Source organism: Homo sapiens, chromosome 10 (assembly GCF_000001405.40).
Source record: "Homo sapiens chromosome 10, GRCh38.p14 Primary Assembly".
NCBI lineage: Eukaryota > Metazoa > Chordata > Mammalia > Primates > Hominidae > Homo > Homo sapiens.
The window spans coordinates 35,008,222-35,024,147 of record NC_000010.11 but is presented as its reverse complement, the minus strand read 5'-3'; the positions used below and the strand labels follow the sequence as shown (position 1 = coordinate 35,024,147).

At 39.0% G+C, this 15,926-nt stretch overlaps 1 protein-coding gene across 11 annotated transcripts in view, besides 1 other annotated feature; it reads left to right on the top strand.

Moving 5' to 3' along the window:
- CUL2 (cullin 2) overlaps positions 1–15,597 on the top strand; it is a 118,456-nt gene extending 102,859 nt beyond the window's left edge. For all 11 annotated transcript variants that reach the window (XM_011519745.2, XM_047425852.1, XM_011519743.1 and 8 more), the window contains 4 exons: positions 7,754–7,956; positions 10,348–10,449; positions 12,184–12,300; positions 13,706–15,597. In XM_011519745.2, coding sequence (XP_011518047.1) covers positions 7,754–7,956; positions 10,348–10,449; positions 12,184–12,300; positions 13,706–13,837 — 554 coding nt within the window. In that variant the 3' untranslated portion in view covers positions 13,838–15,597. The remainder of the gene's footprint in view (positions 1–7,753; positions 7,957–10,347; positions 10,450–12,183; positions 12,301–13,705) is intronic.
- Positions 10,882–11,452: an enhancer, noted in NCBI's record as "OCT4-NANOG hESC enhancer chr10:35301624-35302194 (GRCh37/hg19 assembly coordinates)". NCBI's record gives its function as "activates a minimal SCP1, AML or CMV promoter by ChIP-STARR-seq in naive H9 embryonic stem cells {active_cell/tissue: H9 hESC(naive)}" and the evidence as "EXISTENCE:reporter gene assay evidence [ECO:0000049][PMID:30033119]".
- Positions 15,598–15,926: the final 329 nt, after the last annotated feature.

The following is a 15,926-nucleotide window of genomic DNA, read 5'->3' as shown; positions in this document are numbered from 1 at the left end:
TAATTTGACTTTTGGCTAGGTGCAGTGGCTCACACCTGTAACCCCAGCACTTGGGGAGGCTGAGACAGGTGGGTCACTTAATCCCAGGAGTTTGAGACCAGCCTGGGCAACATGACAAAACCTGTCTCTACTAAAAAATCCAAAAATTAGCCAGGCGTGGTGGAGCACACCTGTAGTCCCAGCTACTCGAGAGGCTGAGATGGGAGGATCACTTGAGCCCACGAGCTGGAGGCTGCAGTGAGCCATGATCGTGCCACTGCACTCCAGCCTGGGCAACAGAGCAAGACCCTGTCTCAACCAGTCAATCAATATGTTCTATTTTCATTTAGTAAACATAATTGATTTTAAGAAAAAAATGCTGGACCAGGGTTTTAGATTTTTTTTTTTTCCCCTAAGAAAACTAATATATCTTAGTGCAGTTCGATTTAGCTTGCTTTTACTTTCCATGAATATCTGTCTGGGGGAGTTTAAACATTCTTGGTTATTCTCATTATTTCAGCAATAATCAATGTGTCTCCTAAAGTAATTTTAGTAAGGGGCTCATTTTAACAACCAGTGGTGTATAAGAAGAAAATAAATTTATGCACATAGTTTTTTAGCCATTGGAATTTAGTTTGAAAATAGTCACCAATATCACCTAAATAGGAAAGAGAATAACTTTCTTTCTGTTTTTGAGCTATACTAAATTTCTAAGCTGATACATAAGTTGATTTGGGGAGCTCTTTTGTTTGTTCATTTCTTTTATTTAATATTATTTGTGTTTTAGTTAAAACCAAATAGTTACTTCCTTTGGAAAGAGAACCTTATAAGTTTATTTTTTTGTTTTGAGTCACCGAAGGTACTGAAAACACCTGTGACCTATCAGTGAAACCAGGAGTTAGAGTTGTTTTTCTTCCCAACTTTGATAAGATACAATTGACACATAAAAATTGTATCTGTTTACAGTGTACAGTGTGATGCTTTGTTATGTTTATATTGTAAAATGATTAACTCAAGCTAATTAACATAAGTAGCTTCTCACTTATCTTTATTTGTGGTGAGAGCATTTAACATCTACTGTCACAGCAATTACTGTCACAGCAATTTTCTTTTTCTTTTTTTCTTTGAGATGGGGTCTTGCTCTGTCACCCAGGCTGGAGTGCAGTGGCGATCTCGGCTCACTGCAACCTCCACCTTCTGGGTTCAAGTGATTCTCCTGCCTCAGCCTTCTGAGTAGCTGGGATTACAGGCACACACTACCACTCCCAGCTAATTTTTGTATTTTTAGTAGAGACGGTGTTTCACCATGTTGGCCAGGCTGGTCTCGAACGCCTGACCTCGTGATCCACCCACCTCGGCCTCCTAAAGTGCTGGGATTACAGGCATGAGCCACCGTGCCCAGCCTTGTCACAGTAATTTTCAAGTTTACTCCACAGTAGATTAACAGTCACCATGCTATATGATAGATCTCCAGAACTTACTGGTCCTAACTGAAACTTTGTCCCCTTTGATCAACATTTTTCATTTTATTTTTGTTCTCCATTTATTCATTTAACAAAAAGTTTCTCACACGCTATGTGTATTGAAGATACTTGTTCTAGATTACCCATATATGGCCTAAGGCTCCAGGACTTCTTTAAAACACTGGCTCTGAGGCTGGACAGATCTCTCAGAGTTCTGTTTCTTGAGAACCCCTGTTACTTCTGCTTAAACATAGAATGAAAATTATTCTTGCCTAGTCTATTTCTACATTCCCAGCTCATGGAATACCCAAGAAAAGGTTAATTTTTGTATTGTAAATGAAGAGTCTTCACAAATGGTTGATGGTGCACAAGGTGGTGTTTGGGGGAATTTAGAATCAGAAGACCTGTGGCTGGAGTTATTAGCTCACAACTTATTAGCTGTGTAATCTTAAGCAAATTACTTAACTCCTTTGAGCCTGTTTCCTTCTCTTTATTGTTGTAAAATTCATTGATCAACTCAAAGAACATTTTCTATGTCTCAGGTACTTCTAAACGCCAAGTGGACAGAAATAAAATACAGAGCCTTGGCCCTCAAAAAAAACTCATGTCTAGTAGGAAGACAGACATACGTACATAGTTACAGTACGGTGTTTTGAATGTGATAGAGGCCAGCCCAGGGCATATCACAGAATGGTGGTGGCAGTCAGGTCCTTGCGAGGGAAGTCTTCTGGGGAAATCACATCTCAACTTGTTTTCAAGAGCTAATAGGGCCGGGTGCCCCCTCGCCCCACTTCGCCCCACCTCACCCCACCTCACCCCACCTCACCCCACCTCACCCCACCCCACCTCACCTCACCTCACCTCACCTCACCTCGCCTCACCTCACCCCACCTCGCCTCTCCTCACCCCACCTCACGTAAGCTGGAGTGGAGGTGCGCGATCACAGCCCACATTAGCCTCTGCCTCCCGGGCTTAAGAGATCCCTGTAGTCCCAGCTACTTGGGAGGCTGAGGTCACCAGAGCCCAGAGTGAGAAGACCAGGCAGGCCCAAAAAGAAAATAAATAAATGAAAATAAAAAATAATAAATGAAAGAAGGAAGGAAGGAAGGATATACATGTATATGTAAATGAAATGGGTTTTTATTTAATACATATTCATACATTAAAATTGACATTAATATAAACATGTATTAATTATGGAAATATCATCTATATAGTTTTATCACTACATATTTGTGTGTGTGTATGTATGTGTGTGTGTGTATATATATACATACATATATAAAAAAATGTATGTTTATACACAGCAGTGTGCAGAAAATAAGATTCTCTGAGGCAGGAGAATGGCATGAACCCGGGTGGCGGAGATTGCAGTGAGCCGAGATCACGCCACTGCACTCCAGCCTGGGCGACAGAGCAAGACTCCGTCTCAAAAAAAAAAAAGAAAGAAAGAAAGAAAGAAAACATGCTGCAGATTAACATGGAGGTTAATTTAATCTGCAGTTAGAATGGAATAAAATTGTCACCATGTCCATGGCTTGCAGAGACTGTAATGTGCTCCCTACAAAGTCTTCTGTTGAAGCTCTAACCCCTAAGGTCCATGAGAAGGTGATCAAGGTTAAATAAGGTCATAGTAATCTAGCACTGTGGGAGGCTGAGGCAGGAGTATCACTTGAGCCCAGGAGTTCAAGATCAGCCTGGGCAACATAGTGAGACCCTGTCTTGAAAAAAAAAAAAAAAAACCCATAAAATAAAAAGAATGAATAGGACTTAACCAAGCTACGTAAAGGAGAGTGTTGAGAGTGTATTTCCAACAGAGGAAGAATTTTAAGAAGCAATCTGTGATGCCAGATGTGACAGAGTGAGAAAAATCCTGAAAATTCCACTGGATTTATGACTAAGGCTTTGGATAGAATTAACGATAAGGAACAGTTTGATAAAGACATACAGATACTTGATAAAGAGATATAACCAGACAGTGTGACAGAAACCATTACACTGTCTTTGTATAAATAAGTTTTATTTGTGGCAGAGCAAGAAGTTGTAGAGATTGCTGGTCAGTTGCTGAAAGACACGTTGAGAAATGATGAACTCAAGGAAGATAAAAAAAACTTCACCAGACAGTACATAGTATGGATCAGGCTAGAATTTTGTGAACCCTACATCATAGTATGTGTTGGTAGTTACTAGTGTTTGCCAGAATAAAAGTAACACCATATCATTGTGCATACCTTAAAAGATAACGATTCTATTGACTAAATTTGTCCTGCTTTTGTTTTCAAATAATTCCAACAGCTAAAAATAGGGAGGGATGTTAGTATTGTCTAATGTCCAGTCCATATTCAAATTTCCCTGACTGTCCCAAGGTGACTTGCTTGACTGTCAGAGGTCACTAATTGTATTTGGTTGTTACATTTCCCTTCCACCTCCCCACTTCTCAGCATTCTTTGACACACTGTTTTGAACAGACCAGGCCAGTTGTCTTGTAGAATATCCAGTACTTTGGATTACTTATTTGTGATTTATTTTTTTTTTTTTTAAATTTGTTTTCTATTCCTTGTATGTTCTGGAAAGTGGAAATTAGTTCTAAAGGTTTGATTATATTCAGTTAAGTATTATTGGCAAGGATATTTCATAGGTGGTCCTGTGTATTTCATATTGCATATTTCAAAGGCATCTAATGTCAGATTGTCTCACTATTAGAGATGCTAAATTTGGTCACTTGATGAAGGCGGTAACCACCAGATATCTCCATTGTAGAGGCACTCTTTCCCCTCTTCAGTTAGCTTAGCAGACAGTCTGAGGGATGATACTTTGGCATGAATACCCTGTTCCAGGAACCTAATGTAGTTTTAGCCTCCACTGATGATCCTTGCCAGAATCAGTTGTTTCATTACTGGTTGCAAAATGGTGATATCCTATCATGCCTTCAACTTGCCCTGAGAGAGTAGAGAGCTGACACAGATACTGGGGAGTGACTTGGATGAAACTATTGTGAGAGTTCTGCCCGCTCTTTATTTCCTGTCATTGTAAATGCTGCTTGAATTATTTATTGTTGGCTTACTTTAAGTATGCATGTATCAGAATGTTTTATTTTAGTTTTTAGTCTCTTAGGGTTTGCCAACCTATTCTGCAGGGTAAATCACCACTCTTGTTGTTTCTCATTTGTGTTTACACCACAGTAATTAAATGAATCATCCAAGTTTGAAGTTTCCTTTCCCCTGTCGTGTCTTCCCACCCCTTCCCCAGTCTTTTCAGTAAGAGTATGGTGCTAAGAAAAGTGGGAAGAGGTCAGTGTACCCCTGATCCCTGGTAGAGTATTGAAAAATAGCAAGAAAGGGCACAATGAAAGAATGAACTCAATAAGAAGTAAATGATGCTTTGGCCCCTCGCATGATCTCCTAATGCTCTTTGGGTCTCGTGGTGCTGAAAGACGGCAGAAGACTCATTCTGCTTTCAAACCCACGGCAGCATATTACAGCATCAGTGACATCCTGGCTGATGGTGCCACTTAATCATCTTGGTGCTTGATGCATAATTCTCTACTTATTTCTGCATATGATTAAGTCGTCATTGCAGAAATAACAAAATGCAATTTATGTAATGTTTTACTTACATTTTCCAAACTTAAATGTTGATAAGAGTCCTTTTTATAGAAATTGTTAATAGTATACTCCAAATGATAATTTTTTGCACAAGCTGTTTCTATGAATTGGATATTGAATTTAATATATTAAACCTCCTTTTGTGAAAATTTAGAGGGCTATGAATTTTTTCTCTTGGTATTCCCATCCAGATAATTCTGAAAAATGTTTCTAAATATCAGTTTTATCTGAAATGTCAAGGCATAAATGATAATAATCAAGATAATATTGCATTTATGGTGATATTAAGCTAATGAATTCACTCATAGCCTTTAAAATCTTTTTTTTTTTTTTTTTTGAGACGGAGTTTCGCTCTTGTTACCCAGGCTGGAGTGCAATGGCGCGATCTCGGCTCACAGCAACCTCCACCTCCCGGGTTCAAGCCATTCTCCTGCCTCAGCCTCCGGAGTAGATGAGATTACAGGCATGCACCACCACACCCGGCTAATTTTGTATTTTTAGTAGAGACGGGGTTTCTCCATGTTGGTCAGGCTGGTCTTGAACTCCAGACCTCAGGTGATCCACCTGCCTCGGCCTCCCAAAGTGCTGGGATTACAGGCGTGAGCCACTGCGCCCGGCCTAAAATCTTTAATGAGGTAATGAATACATAAAGCAGAAAACCTTAATCAGAGTTACTAATTATCCTTGAGAGGGAAAATGCAGTCTCTGGGGTAATTTTATGAGAAATACAGCTTCCTTGAGTTAACAATGAAGAGCTTTAAAATCAAATCTCATGTTGATTTCATCTTTTTTTTTTTTTTTTTTTTTTTTTTGTGAGATGGAGTCTTGCTCTGTTGCCCAGGCTGGAGTGCAGTGGTGCGATCTCGGCTCACTGCAAGCTCCGCCTCCCGGGTTCACGCCATTCTCCTGCCTCAGCCTCCCGAGTAGCTGGGATTACAGGTGTCCGCCACTGCGCCCTGCTAGTTTTTTTTTTTTTTTGTATTTTTAGTAGAGCAGGGGTTTCACCGTGGTCTCGATCTCCTGACCTCGTGATCCGCCTGCCTCCACCTCCCAAAATGCTGGGATTACAGGCGTGAGCCACCACGCCTGGCCCAATTTCATTTATAATCCATTCAACAATCAAATAATGCAGGCCGTGTGTGTGTTAGTCGTCAAACCACAACTTCGTGCTTTAGGAAGCAGCTCTTTGATCTGCATCTTTTTTCTTTTCTTTTTTTTTTTTTTTAAACACGTATGGAACATTACAGAGTGTAGACATGTTTGCCATATTATTCATTATGAGCTTTCAGTGTGCTGATGTCATGCTGCTGTCTCCCAGGATGTTGCAGAACTGTAGTATACATAATACTTGCTCTATCTCTTAGAGCTCCCAGGGTCATTTAGCATATAGAATTTTTTTTTTTTTTTTGAGACAGATACTCATTCTGTCGCCCAGGTTTGAGTGCAGTGGTGTGATCTTGGCTCACTGCAACTTCTGCCTCCCAGGTTCAAGGATTCTTATACCTTAGCCTCCCGAGTAGCTGGGTTTACAGGCATATGCCATCATGCCCGGCGAATTTTTGTATTTTTAGTAGAGACAAGGTTTCGCCATGTTGACCAGGCTGGTCTCGAACTCCTGGGTTTAAGTGATCTGCCCACCTCGGCCTTTCAAAGTGCTGGGATTACAGGCATAAGCTACCGTGCCCAGCACATATAGAACATATTTATGAAAACATTCAGATTAAATGTTTTTCATTTTTATGAAAACATTCAGATTAAACATTTTTATGAAAACATTCAGATTCTTTTGCTATCAACTTTCAGCAAGAGAATGGGTCTGCCTGTTTGTCTCTCCTTTCATACCTGTTTGCCTCTAGGAAGTTACTGGAAAGAAAAATGTTGTTTATGAGACATAATAGCATTAATTTTGGCAGAAATTACAGCTTAGACAGGGCCTCAAAAGCATTTTCCATGTGGCTGTGGACCTCCCAGGAGGCTTGAACCTTACCTGGGAGAGCCCAGCTATCGACAGCACTTGAGGCTGTTGCTGATATCACTTTGCCCTTTGTCTGTCCATTTCTCCTTCTCCCACCTCCTTTTATTGTTTGGGTTTTTTGTTCTTTTCTTTTTCTGCCTAAGTCTTAGCATTTCTATTAATATTTAAAGACTTTTTTTTTTGTTTTTTTTTTTTTTTTGAGACAGAGTCTCGCTCTGTCACCCGTGCTGGAGTGCAGTGGTGTGATCTTGGCTTGCTGCAACCTCCGCCTCCCAGGTTCAAGTGATTTTCCTGCCTCAGCCTCCCAAGTGGCTAGGATTACAAGCATGAGCCACCATGCCTGGCTAATTTTTGTACTTTTAGTAAAGATGGGGTTTTACTATGTTGACCAGGCTGGTCTCGAGCTCCTGACCTAAAGTGATCTGTCTGCCTCGGCCTCCCACAGTGCTGGGATTACAGGCGTGAGCCGCTGCGCCTGGCCTTAAAGACTGTTTTAACCTACTGGTGAAGTTATGATAGTTTTACTGATTTATACCATATACTCAAAACTAATAGACTTCCATCCTCACCTCCCCAAGAAACAAAATGACTACCTTGTTAACAGCAGTGGCTTTACAACAATTTAATAAAATTATTGGTTCACTCTTTCCGAAGAAAATGTCTGAAATAAAGTAAATTTGAAATGTTTCTTTGAATGGTCAATTCACTGTCAGTTTTTGTTTTAATTGTAGGTGAAGTTAAAATGAACTATTTGGGCAAACCATATGTAGCCATGGTTACAACATACCAAATGGCAGTTCTTCTTGCCTTTAACAACAGTGAAACTGTCAGTTATAAAGAGCTTCAGGACAGCACTCAGATGAATGAAAAGGAACTGACAAAAACAATCAAATCATTACTTGATGTGAAAATGATTAACCATGATTCAGAAAAGGTATGTAGTAATATTCCAAAGAATTTAAGCATCATCAGCATTAAAGCTTTTTCATGAGATGTTTGCAGTTTTAAAATAAGGCTGTAATTGTTATTGTGCTCTGGAAAGCACTTGTATTCACTACGTTACTGTACGCTCCATAGAGCTGCGAGCGTTAAGGCATCACAGAGCATGCTGTGTGAGTTGGTGCCATGTGCCGTTTATAGTTTGATTTTATTTGTCCTATACTGTTACAGCTTATTGAATAATTGTAAAAGAATTGCCATCTGGAAGATTTTGATTAATTGAGATTTTGAAACTAGCCTTTAAAGACTTTCCAGGTTTTTGGTTTTATAAATGTGCTTAATTTCATGGTTCTATAACAGGAAATGACAGCCTGTTGATGTCTGTTTGTACACATATTTAATATGTGTAACTCCATTCCAAGTGTTCTTAATGTCAGCACTCAATTAACTGTCATCTGTTTTTAACCACCATATATTTTTAATATCTGTCACAAGAATAACAAGCCATTAGTATATTACTTTTTTTCTCTGTAACTTTTTTTCTAGTTACAAGATTTTGCTGTTTTGTTGTCATAGTATATCCTAGATGTTTAAATAGTTAAAAATGCAACAGAGGTGGGATTATATCTCCTTCAAATTATTGTGCTTATAAGAAAAAATTCCTATAAATAATGTTTTGTTTTTATTTTTGTAAAGTTAATAGCCTACAGTTTATTTCTCTCATTAATTCATTTTGCTGACATCCCTAGGATTATGATGACATTTTATAGTCTATAACTGAACAACTGTAAAAGGCATATTCTGAAATTCAAATCAATGTTTTCATAATTTTGAGAAATGATTTATCTGGCATCAGAATCTTAGCAAAATATGGATTTTTTTTTTTTTTTTTTGAGACGGAGTTCCACTCTTGTTGCCCAGGGTGGAGTGCAATGGCGTGATCTTGGCTCACTGCAACCTCCACCTCCTGGGTTCAAATGATTCTCCTGTCTCAGCCTCCTGAGTAGCTGGGACTACAGGCACGTGCCACCATGCCCAGCTAATTTTGTATTTTTAGTAGAGATAGGGTTTCACAATGTTGGCCAGGCTGGTCAGGCTGGTCTCGAACTCCTGACCTCAGGTGATCCACCTGTCTTTCCCAAAGTTCTGGGATTACAGGCGTGAGCCACTGTGCCTGGCCAAAATAGGGATTTCTTAAGGTTAATTAATTATGGTTTCTAATTTTAGGCTAGTAAATTCTTAAAGGTTTTATATTTTTTTCTAAAACATGCTATTTTTGCTGCCCAGAAATTGACAAAGTAAACATAGATTCCTTGTTTGCACTTTAAATTTTATTTTATGTTTATTTATTTTTGAGATGAGATCTTGCTGTGCCACCCAGGTTGGAGTGCAGTGGTGCCATCTCAGCTCACTGCAATCCCCACCTCCTGGGCTCAAGTGATAATCCTGCCTCAGCCTTCCAAGTAGCTGGGACCACAGGTGTAAGCCACTATGCCAGGCTAATTTTTTAATTTTTAGTAGAGACCGGGTTTTGCTTTGTTGGCCAGGCTGGTCTCAAACTCCTGAGCTCAAGTAATCTGCCCACCTCAGCCTCCCAAAGTGGTGGGATTACAGACGTGAGCCACCATGCCTGGCCTTTAAATTTAATTATGAATCTGTCCATTCCTTAGCAGAATGTCTTAGATTATTATTGAGAATTATTTCATCTTCCAAGTGCCTTTTGATTCTGCTGCCAGAGAAATTCCACTCTATGATATCAGTGGCTTTCTTAAGCCTGATACAGAAGTTGTTATTCTAAAAATTGCCTAAACAGTTTTCCCCTGAGCAAAGGCCACTTGCTTCTTGAAGAGTGAATAAAACATGGATTGAAATAAATGTTTTCACCATCACCCCAGGTCACAGCAAATTGATGCTGTGTGCTACTGGAGGCACAGCTTTCTCTTGTCATCAGGCCATTTACAGTGGGTATTTTGTTACTGCGGCATTTGTAAAAAAAAATGTGGTTGCTTTTTCAAAATGGGGTGATGGAAAAGTTACGCACTTTGGTGTTTCATAAAAATTAAAATGTCAAACTCTAGGCAATGAGCTTGACTCTTATTTTATCAAAAAGTAGTGTATATAGAATAGTAGGACCAGAAAATAGCTTATTCCCAAACATAAACTGCTTAAGATTCTGGCAGATGTAAAAGTAGAAAATAATTGGGTTTTTTCCTGTTTGTTTGAACAAAAGAATTATTTTTCTCTTAAATTTGGTAATCTATAATATAAAAGTTATGAGAGTGGAGGCTTTTTTGCTTGGTCATTAATTTAGCAGAATTGCTTGCAGCAAACTCTTATTTAAAGATTTTGGTTTTTATAAATATAAATGTTTTATTTTTAAATGTAGGAAGATATTGATGCAGAATCTTCGTTTTCATTAAATATGAACTTTAGCAGTAAAAGAACAAAATTTAAAATTACTACATCAATGCAGAAAGACACACCACAAGTAAGTGCTTTTAATGTCAAGTTTTTTTTGAGGGGGAAACATTTAAGCATTGGACTTTACAAGTGTTTACATTGAGATTGTGCAAAACTTTGCACAGCAAAATTAATAATGGGATATGTCTTTTCTGGTTTGTTGTTGGCATTTATTAACCTTACAGTCAAACAGAAATCTCTACTTGTATTTTAGTTTTTTCTAAGGAAAAGGGTATGGTTTTGTTGTATTTGCTCTTAAACCATTAGAATGTGTAACTATGCATTCTCTCCGAAAATTCCCACATTGAGAAGTAATAAAATTTCATATTTTTCATTTGTAAAATAAGGGAAAGTTCTCCAGTTCATTTTTTTTTTTTTTTTTGAGACGGAGTCTTGCTCTCTCGCCCAGGCTGGAGTGCAGTGGTGTGATCTCGGCTCACTGCAAGCTCTGCCTCCCGGGTTCACGCCATTCTCCTGCCTCAGCCTCCTGAGTAGCTGGGACTACAGGCGCCCACCACTATGCCTGGCTAATTTTGTTTTTTGTACTTTTAGTATAGACGGGGTTTCACTGTGTTAGCCAGGGTGGTCTCGATCTCCTGACATCGTGATCCGCCCGCCTCAGCCTGCCAAAGTGCTGGGATTACAGGTGTGAACCACCGCGCCTGGCCTACAGCTCATTTCTTTCAAAGAAAATTTGTCAGTAGAAAATGCTTCTTAAACTTTCATATGCAAATGAGCCACCTGGGCATCTTGTTCAAATGCAGATTGTGATCTAGTGGGTGTGGAGTGAGGTACTGACAGGCCAGTGTGAGGAGGGGACTTCTGCTCTTCATTATTTTAACTCAGCAGTGATTGTTGCTTTGGTCTGGGATAGACTGTTTCTATCACTTATGCTTCCTGATTGCCTCCGGTGTGCAGTCCTTGGGCTGATGCAGGATGTGAAGATAATATAAGATGTTAGACCCTCTCCAGAAACTTAATTCCCGATGGGGGGAGACAAATATTAACTGCCATTTACTTTGAAACCTAAAATGGTCAAGATTCCATTTTCCTCCAGGCTAATAAATAATAATTTGCAATATATAGATTGTATTTTGTCTTTGAAACGCTGTGAGGAGATCCTCTTAATGTGGCATGGTCTGCTTCTATGCCTTGCTTCTGTGTTTCTTGAGCTCCGTGGAGATAGGCCCCCTCTCCTGGCTTCTCTGCTTGAGCCACATAAAATGCCACTTCACAGCTCTTCCCTTTGAAGCCTGATCCAGTATGCATTTGGAGCTAATTACTGCAGTTGACACAACTCCATCTAAAAGCGTCATGAAAGATTCTGTAATCACTGATAAGAAAATGATCTTGCAAATTATTGCTGTGTCCTCCTTTATTGCCTCTTTACCTTAACAGTACAGTTTACAATAATGTAAATTTTTTTCTAATCTTTCAACTTTAACCCTAGAAATTGTAGATGTTTTAGCAGTGGTTATGTGATATTGGCACAACATAACTATATAATTTGCTCAATATTGTGGTGCATACCTGTAATCCCAGCTGCTCAGGAGTCTGAGGCATGAGAATCACATGAACCCAGGAGATGGAGGTTGCGGTGAGCTGAGAGCGAGTCACTGAACTCCAGCCAGGACGACAGAGTGAAACCCTGTCTCAAAAAAAAAAAAAAAAAAGTATTTGCACTCACTGATAAAATGAATTGAAAACAAGTTCAGTGACTTAATGTCTTGTTGGGTCTTTTTTCTTTTCTTCTGTAAAACAGGAAATGGAGCAGACTAGAAGTGCAGTTGATGAGGACCGGAAAATGTATCTCCAAGCTGCTATAGTTCGTATCATGAAAGCACGAAAAGTGCTTCGGCACAATGCCCTTATTCAAGAGGTAAAAGGAGGGCAGTCCTCAGGGCTTCTTAGGGTAGAGGGCATTGTCATTGTACAGATTCAGTCTCTTTCTTCTTAAAGAGGATACAGAAATAACCTGATCCTCAGATAGCATAAAGAAATGTTTCATACTTAATCAGAATCGTACTCACTCACAATTTCAGTATTAAATTCAGATTTGCAGGCTGGGCACAGTGGCTCATGCCTGTAATCCTTTTTGTTGTTGTTGTTGAGACAGAGTCTTGCTCTGTCGCCCAGGCTGGAGTACAGTGGCGTGATCTTGGCTCACTGCAACCTCTGCCTCCCAGGTTCAAGTGAGTCTCCTGCCTCAGCCTCCCGAGTAGTTGGGAATACAGGCGTGCACCACCATACTTGGCTAATTTTTGTATTTTTCGTAGAGACAGGGTTTCACCATGTTGGCCAGGCTGGTCTCGAACTCCTGACCTCAGGTGATCCACCTGCCTCGGCCTCCAAAAGTGCTGGGGTTACAGGTGTGAGCCACCATGCCCAGTGGACACCTGTAATCTGAATGTCTTGTTAGGCCAAGACAGGAGGATCACTTGAGTCCAGGAGTTTCAGACCAGCCTGGGCAACACAGGGAGACCCCATCTCACCTAAAAAAAAAAAAAAAAAAAAATTAAAAAATTAAAAAATTAGCCAGTTGTGGCGGCACACTTGTAGTACCAACTACTTGGGAGGCTGAGGCGGGAGGATTGCTTGAGCCCAGGGATTGAGCCTGTGTGACACAGTGAGATGCTATCTCAAATGATAATAATAAATTCATATTTGCTTTGGCTTTATTTTAGAGGTCTAAAACTTGCTGATTCATTGAGTCTTCTGTCCAGTTATTGAAGGAAATTGACCCATCAGATATTCATTCATTCCATAACTATCTGAGCCTACCATGTGATAGACAGCTGGGCTGGTCCCTGGGATATAGCACAGAGCAGCTGAAGATATGGCAGGCTTTTTTGGAGTTCACAGTTTAATGGGGGAAGAAATACACTATTGAAATGATATGCAAATAAATGTAAAATTACATTAGCATGCACTGAAGGAAACGTATACAGTACTATGAGAATGTATTTAAATATCCTGGCCTAGGGGCTGCTGGGGAAAACTTTCTTGAGAAAGTGTTTGAACTAAGAGCTGAGAGTTGAGTTAAATAGAAGCTTGGGGTTGTGTGTGAGTACTTAGGTTAATTAGTTTATTGTTTCACTTAATTATGTATCATTATTAGATTTTGCTGTATCCATTTTCCACATTGTAGTTCCTATTTTCATACTTAATTTGGCCCATTTGTTGAAACCTCAGTACATTTGAGGCACTTTAAACTGATTGGTTAAAAGTCATTACTTAATAGCTGAAGAACTGGCAGTAGTTTGACTTCCACATCTCTTCCACAGGTGATTAGCCAGTCAAGAGCTAGGTTTAATCCCAGTATCAGCATGATTAAGAAGTGTATTGAAGTTCTGATAGACAAACAATACATAGAACGCAGCCAGGCGTCGGCAGATGAATACAGCTACGTCGCGTGATGTCGCTCTCCTCCAGCGTGGTGTGAGAAGATCATTGCCATCACCATTTGGTGTGTTCCTGTGGGAAAAAGCAGGACTGTGCCTCCATAATTTGGTCATTTGGCAGCCCCTGTTTTCTGCTGTTTACAACATCACCAGTGCCACGTCATGAGCGTCAAAGAAAATGCCTAGAGATATTTCAAGCTCATGTCATTATGACATTTCTTAAAACTTTATTAAAAGAATGAGTGAAGTATTGCTGAAAAGTGGAAATTCGGTTGGGTACCATGCTTTTTCTCCCCTTCACGTTTGCAGTTGATGTGTCTTTTTTTTTTTTTTTAATGTATCTTAAAGGACATAAAATTTAAAAACTTAAATATTGTAATATGACAGATAACCTAATAATTGTATCTACATTAAAATGACAAACATGATACTGCTGCTTGTCAAATAAAAAAAAAATAAAGAAATAGAATGCCTTTTTTATGTGGATGGAGTATCAGGTTGACCACAAAATATATTGACTCAAAGCAGCTAATGCATCTTTAGTTGCGTTTTTATCTGAATGGTTTAATTCACTTGTACTCCTATTTAAATCCTACATGAAAAATGTCTAGATTATTGTTCTTGACTGCATAGGACTGCATTCAGCATAAAGAATGCTTTATTTTTATGGATTAGATATATTGGATCTAAACATTTTGAATCTTGAAGATGTAATTCCATCAGCAGTTTCTGGTGGTGTGCTACTCCACAGACATCGCAGAGTGTGAGCAGGATGCTTGGTGACCTCAAGTCTGGCACAGAGAGAGCTTTTCATTCAAAAGTTGTCTTTCTTCGGTTGCATAATCCATTAATTCTAGCATAGACTAGTACCCTAGCTCTGTGGCCTTCCCTGAGTCTTAGGAAATCTATGATACCAACATATTCCTTCTATATGCCTCCCCTACCTGTTACCCTTACAACCCTCCTCCAACAGTTTAGATACTAGAGTCACTCTCATCAATCACAGATGTGCTTAGCAATGCATAACCTAAATACTTTTTTAAAAAAGAAAATTGTACATTGTACTGGGTGCCACATATATAAATCCCATTATTTTGTTTATTTTATATATATATATATATATAATATATATATATATATATCTCAACAGCAGTGTTAAGAGTACTGCGATCTATTATCATATTTATTGTCTATCCACACCATCACCACCACCACCACACCCCTCCTCCCTCAACATACAATTTTTCTTTATTTTAAAAAAAATAAGAGACGGGGTTTCGCCATGTTTCCCAGGCTAGTCTGGAACTTCTGGCCTCAAGCAATCCTATCTCTGTCTCCCAAAGTGCTGGGATTACAAGCATGAGCCACTGCATCCATCCAACACAAAATTTTTAAAATCGGAATATTTTAAAGCAAATCACACAAATTATTTCACTTATAATACTTCAGTAAGGCCTTTAAAAAATCCACAGTGATATTATTACTCCTAACAAAAACAATAATTACTTAGTATCATCTAATATGTGGTTCATATTTAAATTTGTTGTTTTGAGATGGGTCTTACAATTGGTTTATTCAATTGCATTTTTTCTAACTCGTGTCTCAAGTGTTTTAAAAATCTACTGAACTTATAATGACTTATATAATGTATTTCTCATTTTACCTTTCTTCCAAAAGAGGAAATAATGGCAAACCATATAATATTGTACATTCACTGTCAAAAAGCAAACCCTTGTTTTGATAACTTGTTGATTGATAAAAGTTTTCCAAATTGATTCCTTTTTTTCTTAAATATTTATAAATGTTAAATTAAGTCTTATCCTGGTATCTAATTGTCAAGAAAATATACTGAAAAATGGACAAAATACTTGTGCGGAGGTCTACAGAGATGGCTTACAAGAGTTTTCTTCACATCCTTTCTCCATTTTATCTGAAAGGAAACATCTCTCGCATGAGGAAGAGAGGCCAAATCTGTTCAACCAAGGCACCATTCAGAAAGGGAGCAATGTTTGGAATTCATTGCAGCGCACACCTTCCCCTGCAGAGAGTGCTGGGAAGAGTTGCAGTCTTGTCAAGTTAGGTCAGGAGATTGAAGTCATCACTG